General features: G+C 37.9%; 1 protein-coding gene and 1 long non-coding RNA gene across 12 annotated transcripts in view; one reads left to right on the top strand and one right to left on the bottom strand.

The window, feature by feature from the left end:
- HDAC2-AS2 (HDAC2 and HS3ST5 antisense RNA 2) overlaps positions 1-26386 on the top strand; it is a 371029-nt gene that overhangs the window by 203223 nt on the left and 141420 nt on the right. The window contains exons 7-8 of the long non-coding RNA NR_125845.1: positions 5730-5797; positions 6102-6234. This is a non-coding gene — a long non-coding RNA (HDAC2 and HS3ST5 antisense RNA 2). The remainder of the gene's footprint in view (positions 1-5729; positions 5798-6101; positions 6235-26386) is intronic.
- HS3ST5 (heparan sulfate-glucosamine 3-sulfotransferase 5) overlaps positions 1-26386 on the bottom strand; it is a 287428-nt gene that overhangs the window by 117328 nt on the left and 143714 nt on the right. The gene's annotated exons all lie outside the window — the stretch shown is intronic.

A 26386-nucleotide genomic window follows, 5' to 3' on the forward strand; every position in this document is an offset into this window, starting at 1 on the left:
ACTGATAATTCTTTTGGGGAACAATTTTTGGAATATAAAAAAAAGTATTAAAGGGTAAATGAAACTAACTGTTGTGACTGGCAGTGAGTTCAGGTATTTTGTGTTCTTTTGTGTTTGCTTTGGAATGTTAAACAGGTCGGGTTCTTTTTAAAAGAAAACATTTTATTCAGAACATTCTTCCATGAAAGCCTTCTTTGACAAAGTGTCATTTTTTGATATATTAGTACATGTCTGCCCACATTTTACATTCAAAAAGGGCTAGCAATGTTTTAACAACTTTTGACAAGCATGGGGAATTAAACTTCCACAGAATCCACTCTTTTAATGTAATGCTACAATCTATTTTATATTCTCGATTTTGCACTTCTTATGGCAGGCCACAACATTTTAAATTATGTCAACTTATAGTTGAAAAAAGTACAAAGAAATTAAAAATGAGTAATTACTTAACTCATCAATAAAATATTTTTAAGCACATAATTCTGAAATTTGTTGAGAAAGGGAGCTACAGATATAGAACTAAGTGAATTATAAATTAGTAATAAGAGATAAGTCAAAGAAATTTCTAATGAACTCGCCAAGGAATCTCAAGAAATTGAGCTACTTCTTAATTAAATTTAGCTACTAAATTGTAAATTTCAAAATCAAGTGCTGGCTGGGCACGGTGGCTCATGCCTGTAATCCCAGCACTTTGGGAGGCTGAGGCAGGTGGATCATCTGAGGTCAGGAGTTCAAGACCAGCCTGGCCAACATGGTGAAACCCTGTCTCTACTAAAAATATAAAAATTACTTGGACGTAGTCGCGGGTACCTGTAGTCCCAGCTCTTTAGGAGGCTGAGGCAGGAGAATCACTTGAACCCGGGAGGCAGAGGTGGCAGTGAGCCAAGATCACACCACTGCATTCCAGCCTGGGCAACAGAGCAAGACTCCATCTCAAACAAAACAAAACAAAAACAAAAACAAGCAAACCAACAAAAAACCCAAAAACAAAATCAAATGCTTTGTTTATTGGCAATGCAGACTCTGCCTATTGGAAATCTTGCTTGGATACCTATAGGCACCTCAAGTCAACACTTCAAAGACCTCTCTGGCTCCCCCAAACTGCCCCTCCCCCTGATTGTGACCTTGCGTGACTGGGGTCCTAATTGCTCCCCAGCTTCATCTGTTCCCACTCTACCCTGCCTGGCCCATTCATTCATCCAGAGCTGCTTTCAATGCCTTGAATACTCTGGGCTTTGCTCCTCTGCCTAGATCACTATCCTAATCAGCCTGGCTAATTTCTCCTCTTCAGTCTCAGCTTGGATGTCACTTTCCTCAGGAAGATTTTTCTGGCAGTTCTTTTTCCAGGTGCCCTTTCTCTAGATCCTTACAACCCTGTTCTCTCCAATCAAAGTCCCTATCACAGAGTGATGCAATTATCTCTTTACTGGCCTGTACCCCCACCAGAGTGTAAGCAGCATAAGGGCTAAGACAATGTCTATTTTTTTTACTGTTAATCTCCACAGCTTAGACCACTGCTTGGAATATTCTAGATGCTCTCAAAAAAACTCCTTTAAAAAGATTAATGAATCATTTAAGTGAGAAGTTCATACATGATGAATGTGTTTCTTTTTTCTTTTTGGCAATAATACAAACTGTCAAATATAACCACATTTTAAAAAATTACTTACCAAAGTCGATATGGGTTAACACTAATGTTCCCATTTGGTTATTTCATTTAGCTGGAACAAGTTTCTCGTTTTGGTTTAAGACTTTTCTCATACCACCTATCTCTATAAAGCAAAATGCAGGCCGGGCACGGTGGCTCACTCCTGTAATCCCAGCACTTTGGGAGGCCGAGGCAGGCAGATCACGAGGTCAAGAGATGGAGACCATCCTGCCTAACATGGTGAAACCCCATCTCTACTAAAAATACAAAAATTAGCTGGGCATGGTGGCTTGCATCTGTAGTCCCAGCTACTCAAGAGGCAGAGGCAGGAGGATTGCTTGAACCCGGGAGGTGGAGGTTGCAGTGATCCAAGATCATGCCACTGCACTCCAGCCTGGTGACAGAGCGAGACTGTCAAAAAAAGAAAAAAGAAAAGTGCAAGGTAGATAATAGGAGCATTGAAGGATGTTAAGCTCTGGAATGCCATGCTAAGATTTGAGTTTAAGATACAGACTTCTAATGGTAACAGCAAAGGTGTATTGATGTATTGAAAGGGGCAGAATTTATAAAATCCAATGTATAACACCTGAAGTAGCTAAAGGTGTTACTTGATATGGCTGTGTCACTATAATCACCGAACTTTAAAGGGGATGTTGTGACTGGAAAAGAAAATTTGAAACCAGTACCCATTAGTGGGTCAAGCAAATGAAGATGGAGAACAGGGCATCTTATGAATATTGTTATTATATAATAAAGAACTGGAATAATCAATATCCTCTTGAAAGAGACTTAAATCTAATGAAGCAGCTGTAGATAACTAAATTATGATTATGACAGATTCAGGGAATTGGTTCAGGGTTCTTTGCATCCAAAATTCAAATAAGTAATCAAAGTGAAATTGCATTAGCTGACCTCCTCAGACCACCTCTGAAATACAGTAAGCATTTATTAAGAATACCCAAAATAACAGCATGACATAACTGCTTCTATATTTCACAAATGCCTTTGGCTAAGGGGGAGGAGGAATGGAGTCAGGTAGGGGAGGGCACGTGAGGGAGGAGGACACAGGAGGAAGAGAAGAAGCTACTTGCACAAAGATAAATGGAACTCTTATTTTAATAATTGCCACAGCAGTATTTTTCTTAAGTCAAGATTAAAAATATGACGAGCTTACAGAATGTTATCGTCCACAGCAAAAGTAATATAAAAACAATTGTTATTCCCACATAAATTACTTAATACAACTGCTACTGGTTTTACAGATTAGTGCTAGCACTGATGGGCCATTGTATAAAAAAGACATTCTTTCTCTGTATTTTTTAGTCTTCAGCTTTTGGTATTCCTTTGTCTCTTTAGTATATTCTTATGTCTTATCTTGAAGTATAATGAAATATTTCACTAGTAACACCCACAGAATTGTTTTCATTGGCTCTCTTCTGGGCCTCCTGAGGCCATTATATGAATGGTAACAAAAAACAATTTCAAGGCAATAATAATGATGAATAAATTAAAGCACAGTGTATAGTCTCCATCAATAAATAAATTTGTTTTACTGAACTGTATTTTCATCTCAAGAACTGTTCTCCCCACCCCCACCCCTTTCCAAAATGCTTCTTTAAAGCAGTTCTTATTTCAAAAGACTGTTTCAAATTGATTCTGAGGAATTTGAGTTCTCCACACTCTTTTCTGGCAATGTGCTTTTTCTCAGATCATCAGAAACAATGTGAAAACACCTGTCACGGTAATTTCCAATGTCTATCATCTACTAAGTTATACATAAATGATCCACGGTTGCAATGTGGTCCTTGAATGAAGGACTTTCTCAAGAAAGACAAATGCTGTCGAAAATAAAAATGGGTACCTTGTAGGAAAAAGCCACTTGTATCATTGGCAGAAACCTATAGTTTTTATTTTTATCTCTAATCAGAGCCAAGCTAACATTTTTGAAAGAACTAATTTTGCTTTTCATTCACAACAAGGGTTATGTATACATGCATGCTTACCTACAGGTTTAGATGTCATTCAACTCAACTCCATGGGGTTGCGGCTGGAAGTGGAGTCAGATTGGCAACAAAGCATTTACTGAATGCCTACTCAGGGTAAATGATTCTAAAAAAAACTACCTCTTCACCCCACGCTATCCCCCAAAAACAAGGCAAGGTATAATTGTTGAACACATACAGTATAGGTGTTCTAAAAAGCATAGAGAAAGGCTCTGGGGTATAAATCTATTTTTATGTCCTATATACCCGTTCTTTTATGTGGCCTTAGCTTAGATGAGAGTCACTCCCAAGACTGGTCTGTTCCCCAGGTGATTCTGCAGCCAGAGTTGGGAATCCTGCTCTTAAGCCCTAAGAGCTCTTAAGCAGAGCATTTTAGCAACAAACTCCCTACCCATTTCCTGTTTTCAGTCATCTGTGCAACCTGCATTTCCTTCACATTCTTAGTCCTTTCACCAGGGCTTGAAAATTAGTTTGTATTTCCCTATCCCATTTCCCTCTCCTGTCCTCAGAATTGCAATGCAGTTCTACCGTAGTTTGAATGGGTAGTATCATACATTTTGACATCCAGATTCAAGAAGGCAAGTATGTATCAAAATAATCTTGCATTTTTTTTATCCACAAGAATAACCCTTGAAATAGTTAGGCCTTTTGAGATGGGTTGCAATTTGTTAGGAAATAAATGATATGAAGAACAATGGAAACATACATTACGATAGCCATACCTTTTCCTCCTTTAAATTCAGTATATTTCAGACTTAAACCTATGGGAACATAATGCCACAGAATGATAATCACTCTAGTGTTCCTAAAGTCTTGACATTTTTTAAGTGTGTATGTAATCAAGTGGCGCTCAAATGGATCAACCACCCTGCTTTTGCTAATGCAAAGCAAAGCATCTTCTGTGGTAGTGTGGCTAAGGTTAGCAATATCCAACTCTCAGAAGGCAATAAAGAACCTTCTTAAATGTGCCTTATTTCTAAAGTATGATGGCATATTATAGCACTCTTTGTCAGCACTTTATTGGTTTCACAAGAATAAAAACAAACACTGAGGTCTTTATTCTGAAATCCATTTCTGGAATTTATCTTACTAACAAAAGACTTAGTCCTGTGAGAGGTGTTCTAGTTATGAAGGAAGAATTTCCTTTTGTAAGAGTTTGTTTGTTATTTGAAAGGCTATATTTATTTGGTACTATAAACTTATAAATGTACATGAAAAGCAACAAACTCTGTAAAATTATACCTTTTCCATGATCCATATAGTAAACCTAAGAGAAGGAAATTTACTGAAATAAGAATGTTTTTTCATAGCTGAGAAAAAGTAGTATGTTTATGCATTTATATGAGAAGAGGAAAAGGAATTCAAAACTGTGTTTAAACATGAAAATTTTTTGGAATAAGTGCAGTTTGCTTTCAGCATTCAGCATTGTTTCTACTGATTATTTATTTATCAAAATTGCTTATTCATTGATATTTTGCTAAAAGACTTGCTCTTAACAGTTTTTGGCTTTCTTTTCTTTAAGCATACAAGGATAGGCAACTGATACCAATGCTTCCCTTAGCTGCTCTGATTGGATTCTATATATATGAACAAAGGTTACCCCAAAATAATACAGGAAAATCAGGCATATTTCTAAAGCAACAAAAGAACAACCTGTTTTGCCACACTCTCACCACAGAGACATCTCTTGGTGAATGGGTTTTAGATGTGAAAACTGGTTTATTATTCACAACCAAATCCATTTACCTATCAGCCCTGCACATGGGTTAGAAAAGAATGACAAACATCACAAAGTACATAGTAAATGGCCACAAAACAAAGCAAAATCTAGTCTCTAATTATTTATGCAGCAAAAGTTCACTACTTTAACTTGCCTTCTTAATCCAAAGGAAAGATGAATGGTGACAAGGGAGAATACACACATAGGAACACTAAAAGGTTCCCAGAGCTGCCCTAGACAGGCTTCCATGAAAGTTAAGAAAACGAGTGTGCAACTGGGCAGGGGCCCTCTCAGAAATGTGTCATTGTGAAGTTTTAATTCCCCAAAGTGTTTTAACACCTGTTTTCTTTTGTGTTAGGCTGAAATCTTTCAGAGACAAGGTTCAAGAGAGCAAGCAAAACATTGCACGACAATGAACAGATCAAGGTATACTTCTGTTTAGGCTAAGGAAGCTGGCTTTATATAAAGCTTTCTTTTCAAAGGGGAGAGATGAGGGAGAAGGAAGCCTTTAGAAAATAAGGGTGATAGCTTCTCTTCCTGGTTCTTCCTGGAGTTGGGAAAAGTTGGCTTGAGGGGGTTAAAAAAAAAAAGAAGGGTGACAAGTAGCTTTTAACAAAATGCCATGTCAAGAGTCCTTCATGCATTTTTGAAAAAAAAGGAAAACAGTAATACCATATATGTGACAAGCTATTTGACAGCATACATTTTCTTTGTCTCTTTTTCCATATAGGTAGCCACTCCCAGTCAAGGACTGTATGAGTTGCCCAGAGCAAGACCTTTTAGGATATGGTACATAGCTGGGAGCCTGCCAACTCCTGATTTTGTCATTACCCTCAGAACTCCAGAATGTAAGCTCCATGAAGGTAGGTTTTTAAACAGTTTTGTTTTTCTGTTTTGCTCACTGCTGTATCTTTAGCACCTAAAATCTTGCCTGGCAGATAGTAAGCAAGCAATAATTATTTGGGGTATGAATAAACAAATGCAATTCAGACCTCACATTCTCTAACTTTGGCAGCTGTATGTAGTTACCAATTCACTGAGATGTGAGCATATGCCAGACACTGTGCTAAATACTAATCATTTAATATTTAATCATTTAATCCTCACAACAACTATGTGACAAAGGCATTATTATCTCTGTGGTAGGATTCATAAAGTACCCAAGTTACAATGAGGGAGTTAAGCAGCTTAATTAAAATCTTGCAACTTGTAGAAGGAAGTTAACCTAGTTTAATTCCAAATTTACTTACTATGCTAAATACTGGTTCAATACTGCTTAGTCAATGACTCTGTTCCACAGCCTCAAAATTTCCTTGGATTTTGAACCTTGGTCTCTTGTAAACCCTTGTATTAGTCAGGGTTTTTTTTTTTTTTTTTTTTTTAGAGGAATGGAACTAATAGGAAAGGGAGTTTATTAAGGAGAATTGACTCACACAAACACAAGTTCAAGTCCCACGATAGACCATCTGCAGGCTGAGAAGCCAGGAAGCCAGTAGTGGCTCAGTCCAAGTCCCAAAACCTCAAAAGCAGGGAAACTGACAGTGCAGCCTTCAGTCTGTGGCTGAAGGCCGGAGAGCCCCTAGCATACCACTGGTGTAAGTCCAAGAGTCCAAAAGCTGAAGAACGTGGAGTCTGATGTTTGAGGGCAGGAAGCATCCAGCAGAAGAGAAAGATGAAGGCCAGAAGACTCAGCAAGTCATCTTCTTCCACCTTCTTCTGCCTGCTTTTTCTAGTTGTGCTGGCAGCCGATCGGATGGTGCCCACCCACATTGAGGATGGGGCTTCCTGAAGGTGGGTCTTCCTCTCTCAGTCCACTGACTCAAATATTAATCTCCTCTGGCAACACCCAGAAACACCCAGATATATCCAGAAACAATACTTTGCATCCTTCAATCCAATCAAGTTGACACTTAATATTAACCATCACAATACTGCTCTCTAACTCTGGACATGGGGATCCTATACTGCACATAAGGCAAATATTGCTTCAACACTCCTATCTCCCAATGTATGTCACGCTGGTGAGGTCTTTCTCTGCTTGGGCTGCCATAACAAAATGCCATAGATTGGGTGGCTTAAACAATAGGCATTTATTTTCTCATCATTCTGGAGGCTTGAAAGTCCAAGATCAAGGTGCCAGCATGGTTTGGTTCTGATGAGGGCCCTCTTCCTAATACCCACAAGTTCTTGGGCTTACACCAGTGGTAGCTAGGGGCTCTCAGGCCTTCAGCCACAGACTGAAGGCTGCACTGTCAGCTTCCCTGCTTTTGAGGTTTTGGGACTTGGACTGAGCCACTGCTGGCTTCCCGGCTTCTCAGCCTGCAGACGGCCTATCGTGGGACTTGAACTTGTGTGCTTTTTCACTGTGTGCTTCCATGGCCTTACCTTGGTGTATGATTGTGGAGACATTTCTATCTTTATTCCAATACAGCTGCCAATCTATCAGATTAGGACCACATCCTCATGACTTCATTGAACCTTAATTACTTCCTAAAAGCTCTATCTCCAAATACATTGCTGAGGTATGGTTTTAACATATGAATTTTGGGGTACACAATTCAGTTCATAGCAGGTATCCCTCAGAGCTAACCTATCAAGGACAATAACAACCAAACACGTTCAGTTTCTGTGCTTTAATTGCATGATTCACTGTCACACTTGCTGCAGTAACTTTTGCCACCTTAGCAGGGTTCTTGCAATATTTTGACCTCAGTAATTTAGAGATTCAATGTGCATATCTAGGTTAAATGTGTATTGGATTTGAAGAACTGTTAAAACTCTCCCTGTAGTCAAGTTATTCTTCTGATGCACTTTTCCAAAAGTAGTTCCTCAGGGATTTCTTGATCTTTCCAGATCTTCATCCTGGCCATCACATTATCAGAGTTAGCATTGCAGAGGAGAACACAGACTCAAGGTGACAAACTTGAATCCGATCCCTCTTTCTATCTGTGTGACCCGGGGAACATTGTGACAATCACAAAATATATATTTTTAAGTTATTGTTTTCCTGAATCACCCAAACCATGGATATCTGATGTTGCCCATAATGAAATTTCATAGATACAATGTGGCTTAATATATTTTCCAATGGTCATTACATCTATATGTTATTTTCTTACATATAACTGAGAATTCCTGTTCTGAAGAGACAATGAACCACTAAGTTTACACAACTCTAAATTATTCTTTGGGATATTATAAGTATTTCTTGGAATTTTCCAAATTGAATCTCAAAATCAGAAATATAGTCTGACCTAGTTATTATAAAGCTTCCTTATCACAAAGAAAAAAATAACGCCTGTTACATGCTCTTGTTAGTAACAACAGCCTTGTTCTCTAACCTTGTATTAAGCTGCTATTGGTGTGGTAGGAAATCCTGAAGAACACCAGAGTACATGGTATCATGACCTATGCCAAGATTTCAAAATGTTGTAGATTTGGCCATTTTAGACATTACTAAAATGTCAAGGAGTTCTGCTGCAGCAGTATGAACCTTTTAAAAGAGTGCTTTGTTTTCTGGCAAAAATAGACTTCCTGACTCATGAATATTCTTTTTTCAGGGAACTTAGGGAAGTGTGTGTATGTGAGTATGTGTGTGTGTGTGTGTGTGTACGCACGCACACACACGTAGACTATCTTGAATTGCAAAGTTTTCTGAAGGAGAGATATTTCCTTATATGTTTCCTTAGCTTTATATTTTAAGATATGATAATGTGTTTTTTAACATAAGATTAAAACTATTAAAATATAAGCATTCATAGTAAATGCAAAGCCACTATTTAAAACAGATTGAGAATGTATGCAAGTCATATATATTGCCATATTTATAGGAATTCTTGGAAATATTGTAACAAGTTATTACTGTTAGTGTTTCACATAATTATTTATGAATATAAAATATAAACTACTTATTTTGTAAAGAAGAGATTGATCATCCCTAAGCTGCTATCAGGTTCCACATTTAGACAATAACGGAATACTCAAGTAGAAAAAGTAATCATTTTTTGCAATGTTTTCTTTCATCATTGAAAAAAGAAATTTAAAGTTTTCTGTTGTTGGGCAATGCTGAGATAATTACTTTCTTTAAAAGGTCAGGTTAAGAGGAAAAAATTCTAGAGAATAGTCATAGAAAATAAACCTGAAGATTCGAGTTCTTGCTTTGGCCCTAGAATTAAATAGCTCTGATACGTTAAGCAGATTACTAAACCTCCTGGAGGCTAAGTTTTCCTGTCTGCAAAAGGAGCGTATAGGAAGATTAGAGCACTGAAGACCTTTAGGTTCTCCCAGTCTGTAATTCTAGGTGGTTATTCCTGCAGTAGAATCAGTGGAATTAGTCTCCATGAACAAAGACAGTAAAGGTTATCCCAGGTGAATATTATCCTACATGTGGTTACAGGGGCTAAGCTTGTCATTATTATTAAACAGCACATTCCAGGTGGCATCCTCCAGTTATACCAGCCTGTGATTTACTGTCACCTTGACTAAGCCAAATGATACCCAGGTGAAATATAATTTCTAGGTATGTGTGTGAGGGTCTTCCCAGATGAGACTCACATTTGAATTGGTGAACTCAGTAAAACGGATGGCCCTACTCAGTGTGGGTTAACATTATCCAATTAGTTAAGGGTCTGAATAGAACAAAAATTGAGTAGGAGAGGATTTGTCCCCTTCTTGCCTGCCTGCTTGAGCTAGGATATTGTTCATCTTCTACCCTTGGACTGAGATTTACACCATTGGCTCCTCTAGTTCTCAGGCCTTTGGACTCAAACTGGGATTACATCACTGGCTTTCCTGGGTCTGTGGTTGCAAATGGCAGATCATGGGACTTCTCAACCTCCATAATCTCATAAGCCAATGATATGCTTTAGCTGTGTTCCCACCTAAATCTCATCTTGAATTGTAGCTCCCATAATTCTCTCGAGTTGTGAAAGGGACACAGTGGGAGCTAATTGAACCACAGGGGCAGTCTCCATCACACTATTCTTATGGTAGTGAATAAGTCTCATGAGATCTAATAGTTGTATAAAGGGAAACCCCTTTTGCCTGGCTCTCATTTTCTTCTCTTGTCTGCTGCCATGTGAGATGTGCCTTTGCCTTCTACCATGATTGTGAGGCCTCTCCAGCCATGTGGAACTAGGAATCTATTAAACCTCTTTCTTTTGTAAATTGCCCAGTCTCAGGTATGTCTTTATTAGCAGCATGAAAATGGACTAATACAGCCAATTCCTCATTTTATATACATATATAATCTCCTATTGGTTCTGTGTCTCTGGAGAGTCCTGACTAACACAGAAACTGGTACCAAGAAGTGAAGTGCTATTGTAACAAACACCTACAAATGTGGAAGTGAAGTGGGCATTGGGTAATAAGTAGAGGTAGGAAGAATTCTGAAGTGCTTGCTCTAAGAAACTGAGATGATCATAAAGGGATTTTTAAAGGAGATTCTGATGAGTGCTCAGGAAGGAAAAAGGAGAGATGTAGAGGAAGTTTCCATCTTATTAGAGAATACACAGATAATCATGTACAGAGTGTTAGTAGAAACACAGATAGTAAAAATGGCCATTCTGATGAGGTCTCAACTGAAAATGAGGAATATCTTATTAAACAATGGAAAATAAGTGAGCTTTGTTGTAAAGCAGCAAAGAACTTGCCTAAATTGTGTTCATGTTCTAGTGCCTTGTGGAAGGTAGAATTTGCAAGTAATGAAATAGGATATTTATAGGATATTTAGCTGAGAAGATTTCTTTTCTTTTTCCTTTCTTTTTTTTTTTTTTTTTTTTTTTTTTGAGACGGAGTCTCGCTCTGTCGCCCAGGCTAGAGTGCAGTGGGGCACAGTCTCGGCTCACTGCAAGCTCCGCCTCCTGGGTTCATGCCATTCTCCCGCCTCTATCTAGCTGAGAAGATTTCTAAGCAAAGTGTTTAAGCAGTGGTTTGGTTGCTCCTGACTGCTTATAGTAAAATGTAATAGAGAAAAATGACTTGAAGACAGAATTATTAAGCAAAAAGGAACTAGAACTAAGTGATTTGGAAAATTCTCAGCTCATCCATATGGCAAAAAATGAGAAACCATGTTCAGAAGACAGTACTGTAGATATGGCCAAGAGACTGTTCAGTAAGGAGATTAGTATGGGTATGAACCATGGACTTAATTAACTACCCCAGCAAAGCAACTGCCAATCTGAACTAAAAGAGAAAGAGATGGAAAAAAATGAAGGAAGGCATCAGACTTCTGGGATTTCACAGGATGTGACCATAGAGATTTTTCACTATGAACAGGGTCTATTTTTCAAGGGAAGAATGAGGCCAAAAGCGATTTAGAAATTATCAGGGCTGCTTCCCTGGTTTCAAAATGAGGGGCCATTGCCTTGTTTTCAATAGGCAATAAGATCTCTGTCCGAAGCTGTGGAGGCTCACTCCCTGCCAGGTAGAACCATGGGGACAGGATTGCTACCCCGGTGGGGCCGAAAGGTGGGACTGCTGACCCAGTGGGTCTGGAGGGCAGAGTATAGAGCTAAAGATGATTATTCTCCAGCCTTAAAGTCTTATGGAGTTTGCCTTAATAGGTTTTGGACTTGCTTGGGACTCATCATCCCTTTCTTCCCCATTTCTGTCTTTTGAAATGGGAATGTGTATCCTGTGCCTGTCCCATTATTGTATTTTGGAAGCACATAACATATTTGGTTTTACGGGTTCATAGCTGGAGAAGAATTTTGCCTCAAGATGAATCATTCCTTGAGACTCACCCAAATCAGACTTAGATGATATTTAGATGATGTCCTGGACTTTAGACTTAGGAGTTGAAGCTGGAAAAAGTTAAGAGTTCTGGGGCTGCTGGGATGAAATGAATGTATTTTGTATATGAAATAGGCATGAGTTTTGAGGGGAAAAGGGTAGAATGTCATGGACTGAATGTGCCCCTCCCCCAAACTCATATGTTGAAATCCTAGCCCCTGATAAAATGCGTTGAGCTTTGGGGAAAATAATTAGGTCACGAGAGTGGAGCCCTCATGAATAGAATTAGTACCCTCATAAAAATTCCCCCAGAGAGCTTTCTCTCCCTCCTTCTGCCATGTGAAGACACAGCAAGAAGTCCAAAAACCAGGATGACGGACCTCACTAAGAACCTGACCCTGCTGGCACCCTGATCTTGGACTTTCAGCTTCCAGAAATGTGAGAAATAAATGTTTGTTGTCTAAGCCACCCAGTTTATGGTACAGTCATACCTTGCTTTATTCTGCTTCACTTTATTGCACTCCACAGATAGTGCATTTTTTACAAATTGAAGGTTCATGGCAACCCTCCATCAAGCAAGTTTACTGTGCCATTTTTCTAACAGCAGGTGCTCACTTCATGTCTCTGTGTCATAATTTGGTAATTCTCATAATATTTCAAGCTTTTTCATTATTAATATATCTGTTATAATAATCAGTGTCTTTTTCTTTCTTTCTTTTTTTTTTTTTTTTGAGAAAGGGTCTTGATCTGTCACTGAGGCTGGAATGCAGTAGTGCAATCCCAGCTCACGCAGCCTCAAACTCCAAGGCTCAAGAGATTCTTCTGCTTCAGCCTCCTGAGCAGCTGGGGCTAAAGGCACACATTACTTTGCCAAACTAATTTTTATTAGTAGAGACAGGGTCTCCCTATTTTGCCCCAAGCTGTGATCTGTGATCTTTGATGTTACTACTGTAATTATTTTGGGGAACCATGAACCATACTGATATAAGGCAGAGAACTTAATCAATAAATGTTGGGTATTCTGACTGCTCCAATCACTGGCCATTCCCCCTATCTCGCTTCCTCTCCTTGGGCCTCCCTATTCTGCGAGACACATTAGTATTAAAATTAGACCACTTAATAACCCTACAGTGGCCTCTAAGTATTCAAGTGAAAGAGTCATATCTTTCACTTTAAATCAAAAGCTAAAAATGATTAAACTTAACGAGAAAGACATGTCAAAAGCCAAGAGAGGTCAACAACTAGGCCTCTTCCACCAAACAATTAGCCAAGTTGTGCAAGCAAAGCAAAAAGTTCTTCAAGGAAATTAAAAATTGCTACTCTGGTGAACTCATGAATAATAAGAAAGTGAAACAGCCTTATTGCCAATATGGAGAAAGTTTGATTTAGTCAGGAGAGAAGATCAAACCAGCCACAACCTTCCCCTAAGTTAAAGACTAATCTAGAGAAAGGTCCTAACTGTTTAATTCTATGAAGGCTGAGAGACGTGAAGAAGCTGCAGGAGAGGAGTTTAAAGCTAGCAGAGGTTGGTTCATTAGGTTTAAAAACAGAAGGTCTCTCCATAACATAAAATTCAAGGTGAAGCAGCAAATGTTGATATAGAGGCGGCAGCAAATTATCCAGAAGACCTAGCTAAGATAATTAACGAAGGTAGCTATGCTAAACAATAAATTTTAAATGTAGACAAGACAACCTTCTATTGGAAAAAGATGCCATCTAGGATTTTCATAGTTAGAGAGAAAACAATGCCTGGCTTCAAAACTTCAAAGACTAGACTGCCTCTCGTATTAGGGGCTAATGACTTTATTTTGAAGCCATAGTAGCTGATGACTTTATACTGAAGCCAATGTCCATTTACTATTCTGAACATATTAGAGCCCTTGAGAATTATGCCAAATCTACTCTGCCTGAGCTCTATAAATGGAACAACAAAGCCTGGATGACAGCACATCTGTTTATAGCATTGTTCACTAAGTGTTTTAAGACCACTGTTGAGATTTACTGCTCAGAAAAAAAGATTCCTTCCAAAAGATCACTGCTCATTGATAATACACCTAGTCACCCAAGAGTTCTGATGGTGATATACAAGGAGGTTAATCTTGTTTTCATGCCTGCTAACACAACATTCATTCTGCAGTCCATAGATCAAGGTGTTATTTTGACTTTCCAGTCTTATTAACTAAGAAATACATTTCATAAGGCTATAGCTGCCATAGACAGTGATTCCTCTGATGAATCTGGGCAAAATAAATTAGAAATCTTCTGGAAAGTAGTCACCATTACAAATGCCATTGAGAACATTCATGATACATGGGAGGAGTTCAAAATATCAACATTAATGAGAGTTTGCAAGAAGTTGATTCCAACCCTCATGGATGACTTTGAGGGGTTCAAGACTTCAGCAGAGGAAGTAACTGCAGTTATGGTGGAAATTAGCAGAAGCACTAGAAACAGAAGTGGAGCCTGAAGATGTGACTTAATTGATGCAATTTCATGATCAAACTTGAACGGATGAGGAGTTGCTTCTTATGAATGAGCAAAGAAAGTGGATTTTTGAGATGAAATTTGCTCTTGCTGAAGATGCTGTGAACATTGTTGAGATGACAATAAAGGTTTTAGAACATTACATAAACCTAGTTGACAAAGCAGCAGCAGGGGTTGAGAAGACTGACTTGAGTTTTGAAAGAAGTTCTACCCTGGTTAAAAGGTGTATCAAATAGCATCACATGCTACAGATAAATCTTTCATGAAAGGAAGAGTCGATCGATGTGGCCAAGTTTACTGTTGTCTTATTTTAAGAAATTGCCACAGCCACCCAACCTTCAGCGACCACAGACCTGACCAGTCAGCCATCATCAACCTCAAGGCAAGACCCTCCACCAGCAAAAAGATTAGGACTCACTGAAGGTGCAGATGATCGTTAGCAATAGATTACCTTTAATTAAAGTATGTACATTTTTTAGACATACTGCTATTACACATTCAATAGACCATGGCATTGTGTAAACTTAACTTTTATATGTACTGGAAAGCCAAAAAAATTCATGTGACTCACTTTATCATGGTGGTCTGCAACAGAACCTGCAATATCTCCGAGGTACGCCTGTACTTTGTTATGGCAGCCCGAGCTAACTAACACAGCATAGCAGATGCCATAGAAGCTGAAGGCTCAGATGGGGTAAGTCGACACTTATCCCATAAGGTACCAGGATGTCACTCTCTCAGGGAAAATTTTTTTGGCCTCCCTCTACACTAAGCCACATCTCTTTTTATAGGGGATCATACAATTTTGAACAAAAAATTTCTGCCATAGCATTTAGCACAATTGATAGTTACATGTTTATATAACTGTATCATATCTGTCTCACTGTTGGGGTGTAAACTCCCAGACAACTAAGTCTAAGCAAGGTTTTAAAAACATTTGGTCTCTATTTTTTCAAGGTAACAAATGAACGTATCTTAAAGAGACAGAGCTACAGGGCTTATTATGGAAAACAGGAGCTCCCTGTCTCCTCCAACACCATTTTCAGCTCCCCAGAAGCAACTACTTAAATTCTTCTAGCTGAATATTGTGGCATTTTTTTATTATCTTTATTAATATCATGCTTTTATTACTTTCAAGTAGGTCTTGAAATTTTGGCTTTAGGCATTGATTATTGGTGTCACTCTTGGAGGAAAAGGCTTTCGTTCTTTTTCACACTCTCCCTACACTTACCACGGAAGCACTTTCTGTCATCCTATTCTCTCAGTATAATTGGGTCAGTAGTGATTATTATAACTATTATTATTACAGTATTATTGCCATGTAGTACCATTCTCATCTGAGTCACATAGCATTAGGTTTTCTGTTAATTTCCCTCTTTTGGAGAAATCTCTTAGAGCCTTCTGCCTGTTTCCATTCAAAACTAGCTGGTGCACAGACATCATCCTAGGATTCTCCATGCTTTCTCTTGGATTAAATCTCATGTTTCTTGATTCCTTAAATCATATATATTCTATTTGTTTTGTTGCTGTTTCTCTCCTGCTTGGTGAAGTACATCCTGTAAGGGCTTCTTGAGAAAGGGTGTATATAAGGCAAAATTTTCTGAATCTTATGTATATAAAAACATGATATTGTGAGATATGTCTACCTTCTGAAATGATCAATAATACCATTTAGTATAGATTTAGGTTAGAAATATTTTTTCTTCTGAATTTACCTTGTATTGCTATTGAGAAGTCTGACATGATTTGATACTTTATCCACTTTATGAAATCTGAATTTTTGCTCTAGAATTCGTTAAGATTTTTCTTTGTCCTCAGTGTTGTAAAATTTCCTAATAAATGTGGTCTATTTTTATTCAGTGTGCTGGGCACTTCATGGTCCTCTCAGTTGGGAAGCTCTTGTTCTCTAATTCTGAGAATATTCCTTTGATGATTTTTCTCCTCCATTAAAAAAAATCTCATACTGGAGAATTCTTATTATTCAGAAATAGGATCCTTGGACTAATTTTTAAAAATCTCTGCTATTTTCCATCTCTTTATTATTTTGCTATATTTGCTGGAAAAATGCCTCAACTATATCTTTACTTTTATCTTATATTTAGTTTTCCATTTCCTCTATTATAATTTTAATTTCCATGCATATTTTTCTTTTGTTTTCTGAATGTGCCTCTTTTATACCATACTCTTTTTCCACTGAGGCAGTATCTTATCTCTTCACATAGTCTCTGTTTCCTGCAAGGTGTTTCGGTCTGGTTTTGTTTGTCAAATTAGATGCCTTCCTGAAGCATGTGTTGATCCACTGTTATCTCCTCATTTTTGAATAAAGAACTTGTGAGTGTGCAAGAAATGGGTCAATTGTGCTCTCATTCCAGGGTGATCTGGCTGGGCTGTTTCCTTAGGGAATCCCTGATCTTAGTATCCTTAGGTTTTTCATTTTGAACTGACCAAATTCCCCAAAGAAAACTGATTGAGTATCCTTCCTCAAGAAATGTGATTGCCAGGATTCTCTAAGTCCAGTGAGGAAGAAAGCTGTGAGTCTCAACATTCTGTAGCTAAACTCTTAGTTAAATGCACTATTTTCAGTTTGGTACTTTGTTTACTCTTCTGCCTAATTATTCCAAGTTCATTGACTCTGTTTTTCTCTAGTCATGGAACAAAACTTCAGTTTCCCAGCTACATGGAGGAGTGGGAGATGGGGGGTGTCTAGTTGCTCTTAATCAATCTTCCTGTTACTAAGCTTACCCTTGCTTCACAGTTCCAGAGACACACAGTGAGGCCATTTCCTGAGCTTTCTGGAAGTCCTTTGGTGGAAACTGGATTGCACCTGGACTTTCTCCACTTCTGGTTTTAGAATTCAACATTCTGGGGTTTCCAAAAATTCATTTCCATGATTACATCTGCTTTCCAGCTTAAATGATTTGTTGTTATTGTCTCCTAGTGCATGCATTTTGGCTTTACATGTGTGTGCCTTTTAAAAAAATAAACCCTTTAAAAGTCATTTCACTGGGGGTTGGAAGGTAGTTAAGGCACCATGACTACCTTGCTTATGATGACATCCTCAGAACAGAGTGCAGTGCCAAGGATTTAGAAGGTCCCTGATACGTATTTGTCAACTGAGTGAAAGAATCATCACCATATATAATTCTTTTCATTCTCCTTATGTGAATAAGTTTCAACAATTAAGCAAAGTCTCTGTATGGGTCCTATGTATATTTCTCCCAATATTAAGATATTACATATTCTTTGCTATCTTAACATAAAGCTCTGCATGGAGTTCTTGGTCTTTTAGAACTTCGCTATTGTGAAGATAACTTTTTGGCATGAATGCACCATGTAGACTGAAACAGAATACCAGACTCCAACAATGACAAGAGCTTCTCTGGCTGATATTGCCATCTGTCCTGGTTTCCACTTAACATGTATATTAGTTATTTGAATAGATTATTGGGGGGTGAAGGTCACTTTATTGCAGCCCTTTGAATACAGGGTCATCATGAATAACCTGAAACTGCAGCTGTGGCCAAAGAGAAAATGACTTCAACTGTTGACATGTGTCCTTGGTACAGACTTAATGGTGGTCTAATAATATTAAGCATAGAAAATATGGGACAAAGAAAAACATAGACTCACAAAAGGATCCCACTGCATATATCCTGACAGTTTTTCCTCTTATGGGAAGTTCTTCACAATGTGTATTCCACGTATGTGTGTGCTCTCTCTCTCTCTTTTGATCTCTCTCCTTATTTTCAATTACAGAGTAATTACTATAAAATGAAAATATACTTAAATGTATAATTATTGTCACTCAATTCTGCCTTATTGGCTATTAACACAATATATACAAGTAGACTTTTAACTCAGCTTGAAGAAAAAACACATGAAAATAGGCCGCTTGCTTTATTAGAGAAATAGTTGAACAGGTAACTACAAACTATACTTATTTGTTCTGAAATAAATGTCACGTTAGGGCCAGGGAAAGATGACATGAGAATCAAATTCTATGAGAAGCAGTGGTGAGGCAGGTAATTCCTAGGCTTTGAAAACGAAACAATGGATGCTGGCTAAGTGGCAGAGACTTTATCTTCATTTCTGTTTCAGCATTAAGTTGAGTGAGGATAATCCTCAGGCAAAGTCAAATATCCATATCATCGGTGCCTTGCAGTGTCCGAAGCTGGGGCTTGACAGTTACTCTGGGCTGTGTGTGGAGGGAACTATTTTCTGAGGAAATGTTTGGCCCTGTCCACCGTGGTCCTCCTGGCCCACCTCCACTCTAGATTCTATTGACCATCTTTGAGGCAGACCGCTTGATTAGATTCCTTAGTTTCTGCAATCAAAATTTAACCCTATTTTCATTTAATTGATCATGAAGACATATGTATCTCCCCAACACGGCATTTAAATTTCAGTTTCCTCCAAAGGTTGTTACCTTGAATTCTGTTGGCAAATTATTCCCCAAAGCCAAAGGTAACATATAAATTTTAATATTTTATAGAAACAGTTATCTGTTCTTCAAGAGAGAAAATATTTTTCTGTTACTAACTTTAAAATTGAATGTGTCATGCAATCCTTATATAAGAAACAACATAATGAAATTAAGCAACAAAATGGATGTTATTTTGAACCAGGGTTTTAAAACATGGAGAAATGTTTTTCACAGGGTTTTCTATCACTTTCATTAAGTGGAGGGCATGGAATTATAATAATTTTTGAAAGCATTTTTGTTGAGATTTAATGTATGCATATAGATTTCTAAGTAACTTGATGATGGTTGAGTGTTCTAAGCACTTTGCAAACAGAACTCATTTAATCTTCTTAATAACTATAAGATATAGATACCTATCATCCCATTTCACAGATTAGAGAACTCTCTCACAGAGAGGTATCTTTCTCAACATTACAAAGCTGTTAAGAGGCAAGAGTACAAGGCCAAACCTGTCTATTTAAGGTGCATTCAACTTTGTTTTGCCTAGCTTTTTTAAATTTTATTTTAATCACCTCTTCCACCCAGGTTTTTTTGAAGGAATTTGAATAATGATACATTCAAACTTTACAAAACAAGGCTTTGTCTTGTCAAAATTACAAGACAAGAGCCAACTGTCCTGTAATTCTAAAGTGTCAATTAAAAAGGCAAGACCCAGGAAAAAGGGTGGCACTCCATTTTGGAAAATTTAGAAGACTCAGAGGGAGAGCCACAGATTATTCAGCTAGAGACCTCAGAACTATACAATTTGGGGAAAATTGGTCCCAGAGTCATAGCTTCTACCCTAGGGGTATAAAGTAAAAAGAAATAAGATACTGTAACGTCAGTCAAAATATATATAGACTACCACAGTTTCTCTGAAAGATGTCATATTACGAGCTTCTATGCAACAGAAAGTGATTTTACTATTTTCTCCAACTGCTATATCCATGCATTTCATAGAAGGTTATTATAATCTAAGTGTTTTTTTCATTTCTCCCACCTGCCCCCACCTTTTTAAAAGTTTAACTTAATCAGAGCATGGGTGTATATCTGTGGGATTTTTTTCTTCTTCTTCAGGTTCTGTCATGCTATCATCACAGCAGTCTTTATCAAACCAGGACTAAGTGGTTAATATCTTGTTAACTCATTCATGGAGCACTTTCAATTAGCAAACTTCTATTAATCACTAATGGGTGGAACCCTGGAGATGAAAGCTACCTGCTTCATAAGCAGCACTGGTGGAAGACAAACATATGAACAAACACACAGACAGACAGACACACACACAGTGTTATGGGAGCTGAAGAAAAGAAGAGCTATAATTCTGCTTAGAAAAGTCAGGGAAGTCCTCATACATGAGGTGATATAGGAACCATATTTTGAAGGATATGTAGCAAGCCAAAAGATGGACCTGGTGAGTAAAGTTTATTATTGATAAAGAGAAAACCTCGCAGAACACAGAGTTTGGTGTGTTTGGGGACTACAATGGCTGTGGTAGAAGCATGTATATGCAGCAGTGTCACATGAAGGTTAAGACACTAAACTTTGGCATCATTCTCCCTGGTATGAACCCTGGCACTGACCTTGAACAAATTCGTTATTAATTTCTTTGTGCCTTAATTTCCTTATCTATATAATAGGAAAAGAAACAGTACCTAAACTGTAGGGTTTTTAAGGGTTAAATGAAATAGTACTGTAATGCCTGGCACATAATAAACACTTAAAAATGTTAACTATCAGTATTATTATCCCCCAAAGACAACTACTTCTTGAGTAATCAATATTACTATTATGAGTGAAATTTCCTCCACATGTGTCTTCACACTAACAATAAGCAATATTAGATTATGGTTATACATTCCTTTGGACAGGTACTCTCTTCTACAAATCAGAAATCTATTCCTGGGGGCAGCTTCCAAGTCATATATTCTGAATGATGTCTGAATAGCTGTTTCACAGCCCATCTAAGCATTCAGGTCTCCTAAATTATGAAGTAAGTTGATAAATGGGCCTATAAAAATAAGTGCAAGGAACATACTGTCACTAGGTACCTTATGTACATACTTTAGGAGGAGACATGTATTCATCAAGATACATGAAGTTTATCTTTTGAAGAGAAGAGAATCATATTGAAAGAAACAAGTTATCATTCGTGCTGGAAAACTCAGAAATCAATCCTCTAATTTCAACTGATTTGAACACAGATATCTTTTGCATTGACTAAATCTGGGCATTTGGATGCAAGAAAGACCTGAAGAAATTAATTTCCTAAAAGCTAGCTCCCTTTAGCTGAATAATATTAAATAATTATGATCACTTCGTAAATAAAAATAAAATTCTAAGCCCCCCTCCAACTGGATGAACGAACTGTTGGCCAAAGGGACATCAGAGAAACTCTGGAAACTGAGTTCCTGGCCATGACAGGATGGGAGGTCGGACACACTTTGTCACGTTGTAGTCTCTTTGTTAACTGCCTTTAGGCTTTCTTATGTAAGGGCTAAACAGAAACCAGCCCTTTCAAAAGACTCCACTGCTATTTCAACCAACTGCCTGATTGCTGGCCCTCCCTTTTGTGGTTTTGGCACAACAGCCAACCAGCATTTCTTCTTGATAAAGGAGCACTCACCATGGAGTGGTTCAGGCTAGTCTGTGGAGGATACACAGTGAGGGTTTTCGTGTCCCCTGCTTTACCCTTTGACATCAGAGTGTGGAAAATTCTACCCCTGGATCATGCTAATGCTGCCAATTTTAGAACATGGGTCCCATGGAGAGGCATGAAGCTCAGTTGCACATGGGCAGGTCTCTCCTTTCATGAATATTTATGACTCCTCCTATAGTTTATTGAATATGTATATTTGGCCATCTCATTCAGCATAAAACCCTGTCCTATTTGTCCCACCCTCAAAGCAGTCTGTTTCTGGCATCTGGCCAGAGGCCGTGCCTCCCAGCCTATCAGAATAGCCACCTTGCAGGCTGCAACTCTTTATGAGAAATAAAGCTCTCCTTTCCACTTGTATGAACCTTGTCATTCTTCAGCTGACCTGCTTCAATAGATACCACTGAAAGATACAAAGAAAGTGGGCAGGACACATAACCTTGATATTTAGATTACACATTCCACCACTTTACCCGAGAGTTTCAAGTCATTATTAAATCCAGAGAGCCACTAAGGAACTGCTGTTTGGATGATGTCAGCAGATTTAGAGGGAGCTAGTTCCCCAGAGATGACCAAGTTCCACAGTCAAGAGATCTTTTCTAGTTTTCTAGGTCAGGCCATCTGAGAAAGGGAAAAATGATCATTTTGGTGAAGGGAAGTTGCAGCTAGAGGCAAATAAATCCTGTATGCTGGAGAAAATGAGATATATGAATATGAGTCAAACTGAGGAGCTATAGAGAGACCAGACCCACTGCCCATGTCACTAAGCAGGTAAATGTGTGCATTCAGCTGTTGTAAGCCAATAAAGAGTGGTGAGGTCAGGCTTGGAGTGTGCCTTCCACAGTAAAGGAATGCAAATTAAAAAAAAAAATTGTTAAAGCATTGCACAAGCCACACTAAATACACCTGTGTCCAGGACCAGGATTCTATCTGTTTTATAATCCTGTGGGCTCATGGCCTCTGGCCTATGCTGAGAGGGGAGAAATCACACTGTGGGGCAGAACTGATAATATCATTTGTTAATAAATATGCAATTAGGTAGATAAATGGAAGAAATAGAATTTATAGGTGTATGTCCTCAGGAAGGATAAGAGTGAACTTCAGTTGGAGAGAGGAGAAAGAGGGAAAGTGGTCAAGCAGGCAGTTAGGGTGGGTCCTTGGTTGAATTCTTTCAAACAAAAGAATAGCCTGAAAAATCAGCCTGCAGGCACAGATAAGGGAACTTGTACAGAAGGCCTTGTCTAAGACATGCCCTCAATGGAAAATTCCATCCTCTAATACATGCACAGTAAGGGGAGCAAAGCAATATGGAGTAACTCAAGCTAAGGGCCTGTATGCACACTAGGAGAACAGGAGTGGAGCTACCAGAAATTCGTGGCTTATGCAAATGAGACGCCCAGCCCTCTTCAGTTTCTTATAAAAGCCTTTGCGTTCAACTGTAAAAACAGCAACCCTCTTCTGGGCCCCCTCTCCATGACAGAGAGCTTTCTTCTTTCACTTATTAAACTTTCGCTCCAACCTCACCCTTTGTGTCCACACTTCTTAATTCTCTTGGTTGTGAGATGAAGAACTCCGGGTGGTACTTCACAATGAGACACTGCTACATTGTGATGCATTGGCGAGACTGTAACAGTAAGATCTACATTAAATCAGGGAAATTAGTATGGGGGTCTATATTCTGTAGCTTTGCCAGTTTGTTCTTAGGATTTTCTGTTTTGCCTATGAATTGGGGTGCAGGGAGACGGAGTTGAGCAAAAAAGCAAAAAGATCTTTCCATACCCGTCCTTCCGCTGAGTGGGGCTTTTGTAAAAGAATGAGATATTACAACCTTATAGTAGGTTCTTTTAGCTTACTTAATTTCTTTGTGTTTACTCTTTGAAAGGGCAAACAGATAATGTACTGCCCAAATTCTAATGACAAAACCAAATAAACAGGGAGCGGCCCTCGTGAAGTCTCCTTCATTACTTGCCTAAAACTCAATTATTAGCATCATTGTAAGCACCTCTTAGCCAGGCTGGAGCTCCACAAAAAAAAAAAAAAGACCTAAAATTCCATAGAAGTAGAGTCTTAGCCTAGGAAGTAAGAGTCACTTGATATGGAATTTACAATGTGTGATGATAATAAGCTATATGATTATTTTTTGAAGTTACTGTTTCGTTTAATGTAGTTTTGAAAGATTTTGTTTTTAAAGGAGGGGATTTGGTGTTATTAGGAAGGAGAAACTAAAGTCCAGGCAAGTTTGTAAATGGAAAAAAAAATAAACATTGGGTGAAAAGAGCAATGATTGAGGAAAGAATGCTATTGAAGGGTAAAGAAGTAAAGATGCAGTGCTGTCTTTTTGGTAGCTGTTGCCTTGAAAAGACAAGATAGGTTTAGCTTCAGGATGGAGACAGCCCAAGGCCCCAGGGCTCCAACCAGTTGGTCAAGAACCAGCCATTTTTGTTAAAATGAGAAGAGACCTCTCTATTCCATGGAACAGTGTTTTTTCTTTCTTTCTTTCTTTTTTTTTTTTTGTTGTTTTTAATGAGTACTTTATTTTTTGAATAGACAAATAAATGAATGAACTGCCACAAAATCACTTACCAAGTTCTTGCACATATTTGGTCCTGTTCAAGACTATATATTCTGTATTATTGATATTTGTTTGTTTTGTTGTCAGTCCCATACAAATTTAATAACTGCACCTTAAAAACATTTTAATATCTCTTAGGTTTTGATGACTTCCCATATACTCTACAATAATTCATTGTAGTCTAAAACGTTTTCCAACTATTCTTACATATTTATCCTCCAGTTGAATTTTATAATCATTTGTCAAATTTAAAAAATCTCATTGTATATATATTTATTTTAATTTCCATTTTTATTTAGATTCTGGGGTAGATATGCAGGTTTGTTACAAGGGTATATTGTATAATGCTGAGGTTTGGGCTTCTATTGATCCCAACACTTAGACAGTGAATATAGTACCCAACAGGAAGTTTTTCAGCCTTTGCCCACTCCCTCCCTCCCTCCTTTTGGAGTCCTCAGCATCTACTGTTCCCATCTTTGTTTGTGTGTACTCAAGATTTAGCTTCCACTTATAAATGAGAATATGTCATATTTGGTTTTATGTTTCTGTGCTAATTTGCTTGGGATAATGGCCTCCAGCTGTATCTATGTTGCTGCAAAGGACATTATTTCAAAAAGGTAGAAATGCCAGCTCCCTTAGATGAGAAAAAATCAGCACAAGAACTCCAGCAATTCAAAAAGTCAGAGTGTTTTGTTACCTCCAAAGGATCACACTAGCTCCCTAGCAATGGATCCTAACCAGATTGAAATGTCTGAGTTGATGGACATGGAATTCAGAATCTGGATGGCAAGGAAGCTCAAGGAGATCCAAGAGAAAGTTGAAATCCAATCCAAGGAAGCCAGAAAAGTGATCCAAGATTTGAAAGATAACATAGCCATATTAAGAAAGAAGCAAATTGAACTTTTGGAATTGAAAAGTTCACTAGAGGAATTTCAAAATACAGTTGGAAGCCTTACCAACAGACTAGGCCAAGCAGAAGAAAAAATTTCAGAGCTCAAAGACTGATCCTTCAAATCAACCCAGTCAGACAAAAATAAAGAAAAAGGAATCTTTAAAAAATGAACGAAGCCTTTGAGATATATGGGATTATACAAAGTAACCAAATCTATGACTCTGGCATTCTGGAGAGAGAAGACAGAGTAAGCAACTTGGAAAACATATTTGAGAATATAATCAATGAAAATGTTCCCAATTTTGCTAGAGAGGTCAACATAGAAATACAAGAAACAGAGAACCCCTGCAAGATATTATACAATTCGATCATTCCCCAGGCACATAGTCATCAGAATTTCCAAGATCAACCCAAAGGAACAATCAGAGTTAATGCAGAAAAATAGGGAATAGGTTTAAGGTGCAATTAGCACCTTCTGTTCTACACATCGGCAGAGCTGACACAGAAAGTGATTCACCAGGTTGTATGAAGAAATTCTGAGAAAACTCTGTAAATTCACAAAATTCAATGTACAATTAAATAAACTAAAGAAATAATTGTGCATAGTTGGAAGCATTCTATACTGATTGTGGACTTTACTTTGTAAATCATGTGGTTATAAGTAGAAATGAGAGATTAATGGAAATATCTGCTACTTAGTACAAGTTTTTTTTTTAATAAATGCATTAGATAATCACAGGTTGTATGCCTAATTCTCATGATGACCAAACATCTGTTTATGACATATACACACACACACCTCTATTCCCAGGTGTAGCTACCTAGAGACTCAGTGCCCTCGAGCAGTGAATTGGCCTATAAAAGGTTACTTTTAGAATCACAAACATTTTACAAACTTAAAATATCACATATGATTTTCAAATAGATACCAAGGCACTTCCAAGACATAGGGCAACTGTCTAGAAGTAGAACTGAGGGAATAGTGGTAGGGGTAAAAATATGAAAGTCATAAAATATTGATGCCATTATTATGAAAGTGATAAAATAGAAATATATAATGTTTATGTTTTAACCAAATATAAAACTAGAGACATTAAAATAGCATACCATGTACCAAAATAAACAGGGAAAACAATAAGAAACTACAAATTTGACTGCAAAAATGACTTAAGTTTTTATGGCCGTAAAGGATGCCAGCACAGGATAATGTACTGGAA

Source organism: Homo sapiens, chromosome 6, assembly GCF_000001405.40.
Source record: "Homo sapiens chromosome 6, GRCh38.p14 Primary Assembly".
NCBI lineage: Eukaryota > Metazoa > Chordata > Mammalia > Primates > Hominidae > Homo > Homo sapiens.